The 14,480-nt window shown below is 35.8% G+C and overlaps 1 protein-coding gene and 1 pseudogene across 3 annotated transcripts in view; both read right to left on the bottom strand.

Annotated features, from left to right (window-relative positions):
* The window catches only part of LRRC37A2 (leucine rich repeat containing 37 member A2), a 676,337-nt gene that overhangs the window by 617,969 nt on the left and 43,888 nt on the right, over positions 1-14,480 (bottom strand). For both annotated transcript variants that reach the window (XR_007065300.1, XM_047436147.1), the window contains exons 5-8: positions 11,196-11,362; positions 8,576-8,683; positions 8,019-8,094; positions 5,478-5,633 (exon numbers count right to left, since the gene is read on the bottom strand). Coding sequence is in view for 1 of the 2 variants with exons in the window: in XM_047436147.1 (XP_047292103.1) it covers positions 5,478-5,633; positions 8,019-8,094; positions 8,576-8,683; positions 11,196-11,362 (507 nt within the window). In the remaining variant the exon portion in view is untranslated. The remainder of the gene's footprint in view (positions 1-5,477; positions 5,634-8,018; positions 8,095-8,575; positions 8,684-11,195; positions 11,363-14,480) is intronic.
* Positions 8,063-14,480, bottom strand: part of NSFP1 (N-ethylmaleimide-sensitive factor pseudogene 1) — a 50,285-nt pseudogene continuing 43,867 nt past the window's right edge. Inside the window, exons 5-7 of the transcript NR_033799.1 lie at positions 11,196-11,362; positions 8,576-8,683; positions 8,063-8,094 (exon numbers count right to left, since the gene is read on the bottom strand). The product of NR_033799.1 is annotated as an N-ethylmaleimide-sensitive factor pseudogene 1 (transcript). The remainder of the gene's footprint in view (positions 8,095-8,575; positions 8,684-11,195; positions 11,363-14,480) is intronic.

Here is a 14,480-nt window from a genome sequence, read left to right as displayed (position 1 = left end):
TAGAATGCATTTGCTTTTATATATTTTTTATTAACACAAACATGTCTCTACATTTGGAGCTATATCATTTTAAGATTGCCTCTAACCGGTTTCTTACTGGTGGGCACTCAGGTTAACACTTAGATCTCAACTTTGTAGTGACCCAACTGTTGATCTGTAAGTAACTCAACTGTAGTTGCCAGGAAATCTAATCCATTTGGTGACTCTGTAGACAGCACTACCTCTCCAAAAGATTTGTTTCTTAAAGTCTGTCTATAAATGCAAAATGCCAGGTGAATTTACATACAGTTTGACTTTCAGATATAAGCACAACTGCTGTTCAAATATACATTTAACTTAAAAATTTAAAACCAATGGAAAAATTAATTCAAGGTTAAAAAAATTACAATTTATAGAAAGTTATCTAAAGTATTTTTTAGGGTCTATGTTTTGTCTCTAAATCCTGATCTAGAGATTTTTGAAATCACATGGTCTTAAGCCATTTTATTCTTCTAATTAAAAAAAAATCTTTATAAATTTCCTGACCTGAAGTTTTCAGTAAATTATTACATTCTTCGTATCCAGGTATCATCTATAAGTACTTAGTGGAGAACAGGAAGGCAGAAATTTTGCATCTCTAACTAGTGAGCAACTGCTGTCTTTTCCTCTGCTAATAAATTACAGGCAGACTTGAACAGATGTCAGGTTGGCATTCAAAACCTAAAATATAGCTGAAAAGCAAGTTATGACTAATACAAGAAAAAAAGATGAATGTCAGAAGGCTTCATTTTTTTTTCTTTTTTTCAAATTTCAGATAAGCTCTTTAGCCTTAGGGTTCCTTTTACAGAGCCCTGGAGTTCGCCTGGATGTCTTAACCCCCATTTAAAATGCAATCTCTCCTCATGAGTGGGGGTGTGAAAATGCATTTTAAGAGTGTCAGTGTTTATGTTAATCTTAGCAAGAACTCCCTCTCTCCAAAATATGGCATGCACAAAACCTTAGTGCCCTTTCTTCCACTATGTTTTATTTGCACTGTTTTTAGTATGTGAAAGATGTCTGTGTGATTGAAAGGTTCCTTATCTTCTCAGCAGTTCTGTTTCATAGAGTAACTACAATTTCACTTATGATATCAGAAAAGAGTTGCTTTCCTCTTGAATTTCAAAAGAAACCTTAAAAATACGATTGAAAATGGGCTTACAGAGGGAGACACTGGGGAAAGGAGACCAAAAAGAACACAGTGTCAGTTTCAAAGAATGGGGGCACAAGACCATAACAAGTGGCTTTCCTCCCCACTAGGTGGCCTGAACATCTACACCCCACAGATCCACTGAAAGACAGTGTGAGGCTGAGGTCTTCCCTCTTTACATCCTTTTCCTTCTAGGTCTTTCCTTGGGTAGATGTGAACCTATTCCCAGGATTACATTAAGAGATGCTGACTAATTCTTTAACAATTATTCCACTGTTCATTGAAAACGATGTGTTTTTTTGCTTTGACATTTATAATTTAGAGAGAATTGCCAGGGATGCTGAAAAAATGAAGTTTCTTGGCAGAAACGCTATCTTTGCTAACAAAATAGCTACAGTGAGAACTGAGGTAATCAATCATTTATTTATCCTGAACACTGTCCACAAAACTGCATACAGGGGAATAAGTGTGGTAAATGTCCGAACACAAGTATTCAGTATCTATTCAGTTAACACCTGAATATGCTGAAAGACAGCAATCAGCTGTTGAATTTATTCACCCATACTTCCAGATACCAGCTTTGATGTTCACATTTCTACCCTGGGACTCAAATGTGGCTTCTATTAGCCCATAAAATTATGGATTTAAGGTAATTCTTAATTAAAAATCTGTTTTGTGGGGGGTTGGAAGGCATTCTAACTAAATATCTATTTGGTATTTACTAAGTGCAAGGTATAGGTTTAGTTTTCTTCGCTCGTTGCTCTCATATCCTTCCAAGGAAGGGCTGCCCCACTTGGGTTTGGGTGAGCTCAACTGCTTCAGACAAGGGGAAAACTCAACAGTTACTCTGATTAAAACAATAACAAAAACAAAAGTCTAAATTGATATTCCCCTAAATAATCCCTTTTCCTTTATCCCTCAGTCTAGAGAGCTTTATGTGACTTCCTTTCTCCTTTAAGGGTTTCCTTGATTTTAATTCTACAAAAATATAACAAAACTACAAAAGCAGAAAGGCATACATTATCTTCTTCTTTTTTTTTTTTTTTTTTTTTTTTTTTTTTTTTTTTTTGAGATGGAGTCTCGCTCTGTCGCCCAGGCTGGAGTGCAGTGGTGCGATCTCGGCTCACTGCAAGCTCCGCCTCCCGGGTTCACACATCCTCCTGCCTCAGCCTCCCGAGGAGCCGGGACTACAAGCGCCCGCGACCACGCCCGGCTAATTTTTTCTGTTTTTAGTAGAGACAGGGTTTCACCGTGTTAGCCAGGATGGTCTCGATCTCCTGACCTCATGATCCGCCCACCTCGGCTTCCCTAAGTGCTGGGATTACAGGAGTGAGCCACCGCACCCGGCCTAAGGTATACACTACCTATTTGAAAGACCTTCAAGAGAGAAACTAACAGATTGGAAACTCCATGACAGTTATTTTCAAGTATATTACCTCATTGGTTCCCTAATTTTACTGCTTAATTGTGTGCCTCTCGTTAAGTCCTTTAGTCCTCCTATATCTCATCAGCAACATTCTGTTCGTAGCTAAACTATATTTTTCAATTTTGAAAAGGCAACATGAAGTTTTATAGACAAAAAGAAAGAACTCTGTTACCTAGAAGCATAATTATCAGTCTGATGAACATAATGACAGAAGAGAAGAATATTCTAAATTTATCACTTTGTAAATTTGAAAATTGATATATAGGCAAAAAATCCACTTAGTTAAGATTCCTGTTTACGAAGTAGACATCACTTTAGACTCCATGGTAAAGACAGTAATTTGGTCTCAAGCCAAAAGTAAAGTTTTCTGCTTAAAACAAAAAAGCCCCATAACCTACATAAATTATTCTTTTCTAATCTTTTTTAAAAATTAGAACTGATTTAACCAGTCATACTCAGTGTCCAGCTGAATCCCCAAACCATATAGATCTGTCTATTTAGTTAACAAAGAGTGGGGGAAAAAAATCCATGTTGTTCCCACCTGACATGTCAAAAAAAAAAACAACACAGAATATGCATAAAAATAATTTGTATAATTTTATTTATATTCTGTCAAAATATAACCATTTTTATTTATATACCTTTACCAAAGCCTAAGGAGAACTTTATAACCACACTGTAATTGGAGTGCAAGAAAGGATTTTACTATATAATTCCCCCAAAATTCAAAGGAAAAAAGAAGCCTCTATTGGAAGACAGGGAATTATACATGCATTACAAAAGAATTATTTCTCAGCCATTTAACCATTAAAAAAAAAAAAAAGAAGAAGCTTTACTTTTTTTTAGATACCCAGAAACTTCATCCAGAATAAAGAAAATAAGTTTTTCAATTCAGCTCAAAAGCCAGGACAGCTTTATACTAGTTTGTCTTTTCAATGAAATTGGTAACAAATGCTTCCTGATGGCAAAAAGCCATAAAGAGAAAAAAAAAAAAAACTTTTCCAAAAGGATAGAATTCATTTTTTGTCTAATTAAATTAGTGTAAAAATATTAGAAAAATAAATCCATAAAAAAGGTTCTGGACAGTGGCACTCACAAAATTCAAATCCATAGTGCTTAGTCAAAAAACACATCAAAAACAACAAAAAGCACACTACTGTAATTCAGCTCATTTCAATACGGATATCAGAAACAGATGAAATTCACTAACAAATTCCAAATCTGTTCTGATTTAATTTAAAACTCTCCAACAGCTGGCAAGGTCACAAACTGACCAATGTGAGACCAACTCCTTTACGCATTATCTACCCAACGCATACTGACGTTGCGCGTAGCTTCAAGTGCAGGATCTAGATAATGCACAAATAGCAAACTAGTATCTGAATAACTGTTATCTTCAATAGCTTCCAAACAGTGAGAAAACATTTATAATTAAAAGAGACGGCTTACTACCAATGCAGTTATTTTTCTACTTTTTGGCTAAACAGTATAAATGTTCTAAGAAACAGAATCATTAGACTCTTCCTGCACTAGATCTCAGTTCTGAAAACCAGTAAAAACATTCCACAAGAATAACTTACAACATTTGGAATCATCTTTTTATCCCTGCTTTTACCCAAAATACACTTAAACAATATTTTCATGTCTTGATCGAAAATACACATTACCAAGATAGTGAACTACCACATTTTAAAATATTTTCCCAATTAAAATTCTGCTTTTAATGGACGTGGCCTTTGTATCTTTGAGATAAAAAGTATGCTATTGCCATTTCAAGGTGTATAAAACTCAGGTGATGAGGGTCTCTGTCATTTTCTCTTAATCCAATTCCAAACTCGACCTTTACTCAGTGAACAGGTGTGTGCCGTGCCTGTAATTTATCAGAGTGAGCGACCAGGCAGAAAGGCTACCAACAATAGAAGGCTAATACAATCCAAGCACTTAGTGCCTAGAAAGCAGTTCTTATCCCCACTATAATAAATATACTTTTATCTTCCAGTAGCAATTTAAAGATAAAGAATGATGGGGATGAGCGGAGTAATATATTCATATTCCTTCCATTTTTTTTTGGATGCTGTTTTTACACTAATAGTCTGCCAGAAGCTGTTATGTTATACATTCCTTTCTCAGATATTCTGTTGCTCACATTCCAATCCAACGAATGATATGGACATGAAAACAGTCATGACAGCATTTCCACTGGGCAAATAAAGTCACTTCACACAGATAAATTAAATAAACCTTCAAGAAGAAAGTGGTAAACGAATAGTGCACTTCTTTGTATGCAATATAGAAACTCCAATGTATATCCTGCATTTGTCTTTTTGGATCAAACTTATTTAATTTAAAAATATGCAAGTACCCATTTATTAGGTATGAAGATGTACTAACTGGGTAATGCAACAGTACAATAAAAAGGAACGGCAGCTAATGTCAGAACAATGCACACAGCCTAATAGATAGTTATTATTCAGCAGGGTACATCTGACCCATAGTGATCTTTAGAGTCAGGTGAACTTTCTAAATATGCCCTATAGAAAAACATTCTTACGCAAATAAATAAATAAAATGGAGTCACTACTAGTATTATTACTGTCAGGGGAAGTTTCTAAATATGCCCCATAGAAAAGCATTCTTCAATAAATAAATAAACAAAATGGAGCCACCACAAGTCTTATTTCTATGATTTCCCCATAAAATTAAAATGTAATTTTAAAAGTTCTGGTATTATAAAGTTTTTCAGAAAATTTATCTGTTCATTTTTAAAGAAAAAGACAAAAATAATGGGTCTGAAAAATAATTTCAAAACTATTGAAAAGAGATTCTTCATTGCATTAATTTTTTTAACAACACAAGATTTTATAACATTTTCCTTTTTAAACTTACCCATCTGCTCCACAATCTCTGGAGGAAATACTCGGGAAGCAAATGCTCGTCGGAAAATATCTGAAAATTCCTTGTCTAGACCTCCTATTCCCATTTTTTCAAAGTTCCAGTCAGGATTGATAATTGATTGGCGATTTTCCTTGGTTTTAGCTTTGCCTATGTCAAACGAATATTATCAAATGTGAAACAAGGACTTTATCACTAAGTCTAAAAAGACAGACAGAACTCCCTGAGCATCCTAAATGAATAAAGAAAAGCTACCCTTACATATACAAAACGAACAATATAATCTTAGCTGATTTTACAGTCAGAAGGGTAAGTTTTGCTATGCTATCTACTTTGTCTGATCTCCATATATGGTAACACACTGTCAAAATGACTAGCTAAACTTATGCTGTAGTCTATTTGTATCAGTCCATAAAACTTAGTTTTATTAACCTTCAATCTAACTAAATTAACTAACTCGGTTGATCAGAAGAAATGCCATATCTGATGAAGACAACACTAGCTGGCAGAAATGCAACTGAAATCTCGCAGTCACTGAAGTCTCCTAACGCAAGTTTATTTTAAAATACATATATTTATCCAGATTAAGCTTATACAGGTAATTGGGCATATAACCCCTCAGCCTAAGGAAATATACTGAACAAGTTTGATGTCTTCTTTGCTTTCTCTTCACTTGGACACAAAAGTCTGAAATCATCCTAAAGACTTCAATGATTACAAAACTCATGTTTAAAAATTCTCAAGAGGACAAAAATTATCTAACTTAAATGTCAGAGTGCCACCTAAAGCAACTCAAGAGAACCACATTTACTATTTCAAACAAAGAATAAATTAAGTACCTTAGTATGCTCTATTATAAACAAAAAATAAAGTAATAATATGGTTTTTATAAAACCAGGGAAGAAAATGTCACATTAAAAAAAGTTTATCCTAAGAAATGCTAAATATTTGAGGTGATATGTTAATTAGCCTGATTTGATCATTCTACAATGTATACATGTATTAAAATATCAAATTGTACCCTATAAATATATACAATTATTATCTGTCAATTAAAAATAAAGTAACGCTTTTTAAAAGTTTATACTAGATGATAATTTTATGGTTAGAGTTTTGAGGCCTTAAGATTTCCTTTGGAAAGCGATGAAAAATATTTTTTTCTTACACTCTACTGCCCTCTTGTGGGCAAAATTTACTGAATGCCAATTAACTACACAATTTTTTTCCCATGGATTACTTAGAAATACCTATGAAAGTTATGCAACTCCCTTGGGATATCTTAACAAAAGGTACACAAAAATAAAATACAAAGAAATCACTTCATAAATGTACTAGATCAATAACAGGAAAATACATCCTACCTTCATAAAATGACATACAGGCATTAAAAATCATGTTATAGGTGTATATTTAAGATGTTTGAAACATGCTAAGCAAAAAAAGCAAATTACAAAACTATGAAAACAGAACCAAATTTTACAGTGTGTGAATTGTTTTCGAATGCCTATCCATATTTTATAAATAAAATATTTTATAATTAACAAAAAACAATAAGGGGGAATGGTAATTTGTGGACCAGGAAATAAAGGCCACGCACTCAAAGACTGTTAAGTGACCCTGGACATGATGATGTGCAACCAATGAAAACCCTCTACTCTCTAGTAGGGTAGACATCAACATAGTTAAATCAACCAAAAATAAGAATTAATGCCCAGTTAATGTCACATTATTCTGGTGAGTTACTATTCTCAGAGAATAAGCTGCAATTGTTTTAATATGACAAAAATTGTGCTAGAGTACAAGAGTAGGACTGAACCATGAATCTGCTGGGAAGACTTGACCTGCACATTCATCACTTAATCACTAAAAGAAATGATGATGCTATCTCATTTAACACAAAACCAAGTGAGGGGCATTCTACAAAATAACTGACCAGTTCTCAAAGTCATAAAAGACAAAGTCTGAGGAACTGTCAGTGACTGAAGAAAACTCAAAAGACAGAACAACTAAATGCAATATGGGATCCTAAATTAGATCTTGGAACAGAAAAGGACACAATGGAAAAACTGGTGAAATCTCAATAAAATCTGTAGTTTAGTTAGCAGAAATGAAACCATGTTCATTTCTTATCATTGTACTTTTGAAAATGTCAAATAAGACATTAACATCAGGGTAAGCTGGTAAAGGGCATACAGAAATTCTCTGAGCTATTTCTGCAAATCTGTGAACCTAAAATTATCTCAAAATTAAAAGTTAAAAAATTAATTTGTTTCTTATTTTAGTGCAATTTCTAGGAAATTAAAAATTACACATGTGGCTCACACTCTATTTCTATTGGACAAAGTTGATCCAGATGAAGGTTTTAAACGTTTTCATCAGCAAACTGACCAACAGGAAATACCCCATGCTTCTGTGATAAACTCTCTCAAGAGAGATGCCCCTCTTTCCTTTCCCCATTTGGAAATCACTGTAGTTGAGTTACATATAGAAATAGGCCCACTTCATTTCAAATCTTCTAAAAACTGTAAATCTTACCAATAAGATTAAGTGACGAATTTTCTGCTTTTTCAAATGCAACTTGACTGTTTCCAACAACCAGTCCTACTTCAATCTGTAGAGAAAGACAATAATTAGTAGTCTAATAGCAAACTTCTGGACTTCTCAAAGCAAGGCCAAAAGTGAGGGGGAAATGAGGTCTCTCTGGGCAAAGCAAACCTTCCAGACTATCATCTGAGCTACTTTTACTTTTCTCATAACTTTCTTCTACAATTCTTACATGCCTTATTTCCATGCCTATATCTTTCCAATAATGCGTTTCTTATTATTTATTTACAATAAATATCTGCATTCAAGCAAATTATATGTACATATATGTCTACATTTTACATTAATATTAGGTCTGCAAATAAATACATTTTAAGCTATATTTTAATAACAATGATGGCTATGAAAGCAATTTTTTCTCCCTACTATCTTAAAAGGGTACACAATATGAAAAAAATCACTAAGCAACAGATAGGAAAATTATAATCAATCTGCACAAATTACATTATAAAGATGATCTAGTAAAGATGATCAGAAATAAAAGCTACCTTCTGCCTTTTCCCTGTCGCAGGCTCTCCCTTCAGGATGCTAGGATCCATGGCTTCAATGTCCTTCACCAGTAAGCCAAAAAGCTTTTCATTGAAGCTAAAGACAAGCTATGTAGAAAAGAGGTAAGGGGAGAAAAATCACTTCATAATATAATAGTTTGATCCTCAGATCATCACCAATGTTTTTCAAATGCAGAAAACCAGTTTATCTTATATACTCCTCTCCAATCTGCTCCTCAAACAAACTACTCACAGCCAATGAAGAAAAGGGAATTAGCACTTACGATCAGTGTTTACAAAATGACTGCAAAACTCATGTTTAAAATTTCTTCCACATGGATAAAAAATATCTAATTTAAATGTCAGAGTGCCACCTAAAGTAATTCAAGAGTACCACATTTACTATTTCTAACAAAGAATAAAGTTTCTTAGTATTTTATTCAAACACTACAGCCAGTTATATAATATTCACAAACACTCTTGGAAGCAGAAACTACGACTCCATTTTACTAGTGAGGAAGCTGAGATGCAGAAACAGGCTATGCAACAAGGCTCAAAGTCACAGTAAATGAGAGCGCCAGAAGTCAACCCTGGGTCTGTGACTCTACAATTCCTGCTTTTCTATCACTAGTACAAAATGCTTGCCCTACAAGTGCAGAGACAGCTTCTGAATGCTCAATTACTCATTCACCAAATCTTTGCTGAGTCCCTTCTAAAAGTTTGGTCTTCTTCTATGTGCTGGGGTATAATGGTAAATATTACAGGTTGGGCTGTCTGTCCATTCTGCTACTACGAGATACCACAAATGAGAAGAAACAGTTAAGGACAGTGATCTGGAGTAAGATATTTACTTCTTCTCTGAATTACGAAAGATTCTCTTTCATGGATTTACTGACTTCTACATGCTACTGAGTTTTAAATTATTATAAATACCAAAGCATTTTCTATTAAACATTCTCCTAAACATTTTCTATTAGGATACTAAAACTAAAAGCAAAGGTAAAAACCATCAAGTTTAGCTAGGCAATCTGAGCACAATTTTGGTCATCCAATACACAACAGCACCGCAATAGCTCTCTGGTGAATTGTCCTGATCTACTTTCATCAGAGACCTAACTGTACATGGTATTCCTGTCTTATTTTCTGTTTTCTTCAACTAGAAAGTAAGTTCTATGACAGCAGGGATCATATCTATTTTGTTCACTGCCGATCTGCAGTGTCTAAAACAGTGACTGGTACTAGGCACTAGGTACTATCAAATATGTGTTTAATTAATTCTTATCTCAACTATGTCCCTTAGCTGTGTAGCCATGGGCATACCATTTACCTTCTTTAGATCTTAAATTCCTCATTTGGCCAGGCGTGATGGCTCACACCTGTAATCCCAGCACTTTGGGAGGCCGAGGTGGGAGGATCACTTGAGGTCAGGACCAGCCTGGCCAACATGGCAAAACCCCATCTCTACTAAAAATACAAAAAAAAAAATGGTTGGGCATGGTGGCTCATGCCTGTAATCTCAGCACTTTGGGAGGTCAAGGCGGATGGATCACCTGAGCTCATGAGTTCGAGACTAGCCTGATTAACATGGTGAAACCCCATCTCTACTAAAAGTACAAAATTAGTCGGGTGTGGTGGCGCATGCCTGTTATCCCAGTTACTCGGGAGGCAGAGGCAGGAAAATCACTTGAACCCAGAAAGCGGAGGTTGCAGTGAGCTGAGATGGTGCCGCTGCACTCCAGCCTGGATGACAGGGTAACACACCATCTCAAAAAATAAATGAATAAATAAATAAAATTTTAAAAAATAAAAAAATAAAATTCCTCATTTGTATATGTGGAGTTACATAAGGTAATCTCTTGAGGTTCATTCCAATTCTAGTACTCTTTTTAAAATAATGTACTATATCCTTTTCCTATCTAGCAGGAATTCAGTTTTTTAAGATTCTCAAATAAGCCCATAACCAAAATAAGAACTTTTTTTTTTTTTTTGAGACAATCTCGATCTGTCACCCAGGCTGGAGTGCCGTGGCACAATCATGGCTCACTGCAGCCTCAACCTCCCAGGCTCAAGCCGTCCTCCCACCTCAGCCTCTTGAGTAGTTGAGACCACTACACGCAGCTACTTTTAAAAAAATTTTTGTAGAGACAGGGTCTCACTTTGTTGCCCAAGCTGATCTTGAGCTCCTGGGCTCAAACGATCCTCCCAACTCAGTCTCCCAAAGTGTTGGGATTACAGGCATGAGCCACCATGTCTGGCCAAGAGCTACATTTTCTACAGAACTATATTAGTGAAAGAGACAGACATTCCAGAGGCAAAACAAATGTCCTATGATATAAAAAGGAATTTCAGATATATATGTCCACAGGGTTCCCAAATTTGCTGAGGGAAAAGCTGCTATAATTATACATGACATTTTAATCTAAAAGCTACTTTAGAATTTTTCTGAACAGACTCCTTGAAGTTCAGTAAATACATCTCCCTCACTTTTATCACTCACCTTGGATATACGAGTTGATACGCAAAGCCCCTCTCACTTTTTAAAAGGTGGAATTAATTTTGGAAAACTGCAGAAATTAGAATACCTATAAAGTTAAAGGAATGAAAGAAAATTAAAAACTACCTGTTGTCCCACTGAGAAGGCCTGGTTGTTGAATTGCTGAATAAATTCTGCTGCCATCTTGTCGGTGTCATAAGGGTTGGAGTCAATGCTTTTTTTCTGCAGGAAATCAATCTCGATGGTCATTGTGCCAATACACTGTTTGGCTTTGTCAAATGTATATAAGGAGACTAGGGGAAAAAAAGAAGCATTTTTTTAAAAATCACAGGAGTACAAAATACCTGTAGTGTTTCTAGTAACTAAAAGTTTCACATAAATGAATCATAAACTACTTCACCAAAAATGGGGTTTAAATGGCCTTCACTGGAGGGACACACAGGTACAGGTTTAAAAAATAATAGTCACTAGAGATTTTCTTCCCCATCTGAATTAATTAGAAATACTGAATGGCAGGCCGGGCGCGGTGGCTCACTCCTGTAATCCCAGCACGCTGGGAGGCCGAGGCGGGCGGATCACGAGGTCAGGAGATTGAGACCATCCTGGCTAACACAGTGAAACCCCGTCTCTACTAAAAATACAAAAAATTAGCCGGGCGTGGTGGCGGGCGCCTGTAGTCCCAGCTTCTTGGGAGGCTGAGGCAGAAGAATGGCGTGAACCTGGCAGGCGGAGCTTGCAGTGAGCCAAGATCACGCCACTGCACTCCAGCCTAGGGCAACAGAGCCAGACTCCGTCTCAAAAAAAAAGAAAGAAAGAAATATTGAACGGCAGTCTCTCTGTTGTTATCCCTCATCCCACTCTTATCAGGATCACAATCCTCCCCACATGGCCTCTGCATCTTTCTCCTCATTTAATGCAATACAGTATGGGATGCCCCAACACAGTTGGCGTAACATGCTATTTCCAAATAAGATTTTTGTTTGACACAAAAAAACAGCTAAGGTGGGATGTGGATGAATTATTTTGGCCTAAGAAAGTAGGACGCAAGGCAAAAAAAAGAAGCTTGAAAAACAATGTTTACTAGCGGAATTTGCTCCAGAGCAAGTTAGAGTTTGACATTTCTTTTTTACTACTACAAAAATGTTTCCTGAGCACCTGCTACATCTAGGGAACTACAGTAAGTTCTACATGTACACATGTAGATAAGGGCAAGGACGAGGTTTTTAACTCCTCTTCCTATTAACAGCATCTAACAGTTTCTTTCAGGTGCTTAATATATTCATGAACTGTTTAAATGAAACAACAATAACAGAAAACCCATGGTCTCCATGCTAATAACAAAGGAGGCAATAAAGCATACATACAAAGCTTTGGATAAGAAAATTCCTGTTCAAGCCACATAAAAAGTTTTAAAATGAATTTTAGGTTACAATGTAATTAATATTAAAGTGTTACACATGATTTTACATCATGTAATAACTGTTCGACCAAAAACCTTTAATTGTACAACTACAACACAGTTTACATATCATATTTTTAGAAAAATATATGTTAAAACAAATTTTGCTAGTGACAGATAATTACAAAGAAGCATTTCCCTAGAAAAAAAAACTTGATTCTTAAATCAGCTCAAAAAGTATACTTATAAATGCCAGTTTATAAACAAACTTTTAAAGCAAAAAATTTTACAGTGCTGTATACTGTAGTGGTACTATTAGGAAAGAGTAGAGTAGGCTACCCAGAAAAGTTCAAGAGGATTTTTGCATTTGAGTTTCCCCAGGAGGGCAACTTGATTACGCCTAGTAAGAAAGAGTCTATTGCTACTCTTCAATAAGGCTTCACACACGCGCGCGCGCACACACACACACACACACAAACACACACACACACACACACAATTTATTTTCCCTTTAGGTTCCCTGAAGATACTTGTCCTAAAATTTACCAATGGCCCCTTAAGGATACAGTAGCAGCTCTCTTAAGCAACCTCCACTGAGCTGAGTCATCAGAAAGCTGACCAACTTTTATCCCTCCAACATATACCCATCAGCCTATGGTTTGCCTAACGCTCAGAGCTTGTAGACAGGAGTTGCTACACATCATGGGTCAACCAAGTTCATTCTGGTATCTGTCTGTGCTAGTTACACTTGTTACAGTTAATTATGAAATATAATTAAATAGTATAAAAACTTCTGAAGGCCTGGTTGTTGAACTGTTATTACAATGACTTTGACATTCTAGAATAGATATTATAAGTTGAAAGCTTTGGGAAAATTTTTTAAATGAAGTGTTTCTTCTAGAAAAAAAAAATACTGCTAACTAGGTATAAGCATTAAAATTAGAAAAGGTTGGGAGTGAACTCTACAAAAATCCAAGAGGTTTTGGCACTCTCAGATGCTCTACAAAGTCTAAGTTCTCCAGCCATTTCAAAGAAATCCACCTGGAAATTACGGGTAAAGTGTATGCACAAAAGATAATACAGAACTCCAATCCATGGACCACACCTCCAAGAAAAAGCCTTTAACCAACTTTTCACTTAATTACCAGTCCAAGTCACATTGGGTAAGTGAGCTTCTACAGTTCTCACCACAAAAGCAGGTTATAAACAAAGACTGTTTTTTCACACTTGCTTTGAACAACAGGCATGGCATTTCTGTGAGTTACTGAGGTCAAATAGCAAGAGGTAAACAAAAGAAGTCACTGTGCAGTATTAAATGTCTGTTGCAAAGATTCTAGTGGTTTACAAACAAAGCTGTTTTCTTCAAAGGGACTTTGAGTATGTGTGTTTCAACAGATTCTGCTAGCAATCAGAAGAATCCAAGTAAATAATTTAAGTTGTCTGTGCCTTGATTTGTCACATCTATAAATCAAGACTGAACTAGATAAGTCTTTATGGTCGTTTCACACTCTAAATTCTGTTCTAAACTTATTTCTTAAATTCTAGACCCTTGAGTTATGTACAAGGATTTTCTGTAAACTCTTATTTTATATTTGAGACAGAGTCTTGCTCTGTCACCCAGGCTGGAGTGCAGTGGCACGATCTCAACTCACCGCAACCTCCACCTCCCGGGTTCAAGTGATTCTCGTGCCTCAGATTCTCAAGTAGCTGGGATTACGGACGCACACCACCATGCCCAGCGAATTTTTGCATTTTTAGTAGAGACAGGATTTCACTATGTTGGCCAGGCTGGTCTCGAACTCCTGACCTCAAGTGATCTGCCTGCCTTGGCCTCCCAAAGTGCTGGGATTACAGGCGTGAGCCACCACGAACGGCCGATTTTCTGTAAACTCTTTAAATGAAATTGTTTGTATAATCAGATTTCTGTATTTAAAGGGGGACATATACATATTTTAACTACTTCAAAAGCAAAATAACAAAGCCTGAGGAAGGAACATAAAACTCACTGAAGA

Source organism: Homo sapiens, chromosome 17 (genome assembly GCF_000001405.40).
Source record: "Homo sapiens chromosome 17, GRCh38.p14 Primary Assembly".
Classification (NCBI taxonomy): Eukaryota; Metazoa; Chordata; class Mammalia; order Primates; family Hominidae; genus Homo; species Homo sapiens.
This window is presented reverse-complemented; position numbering and strand designations above follow the sequence as displayed.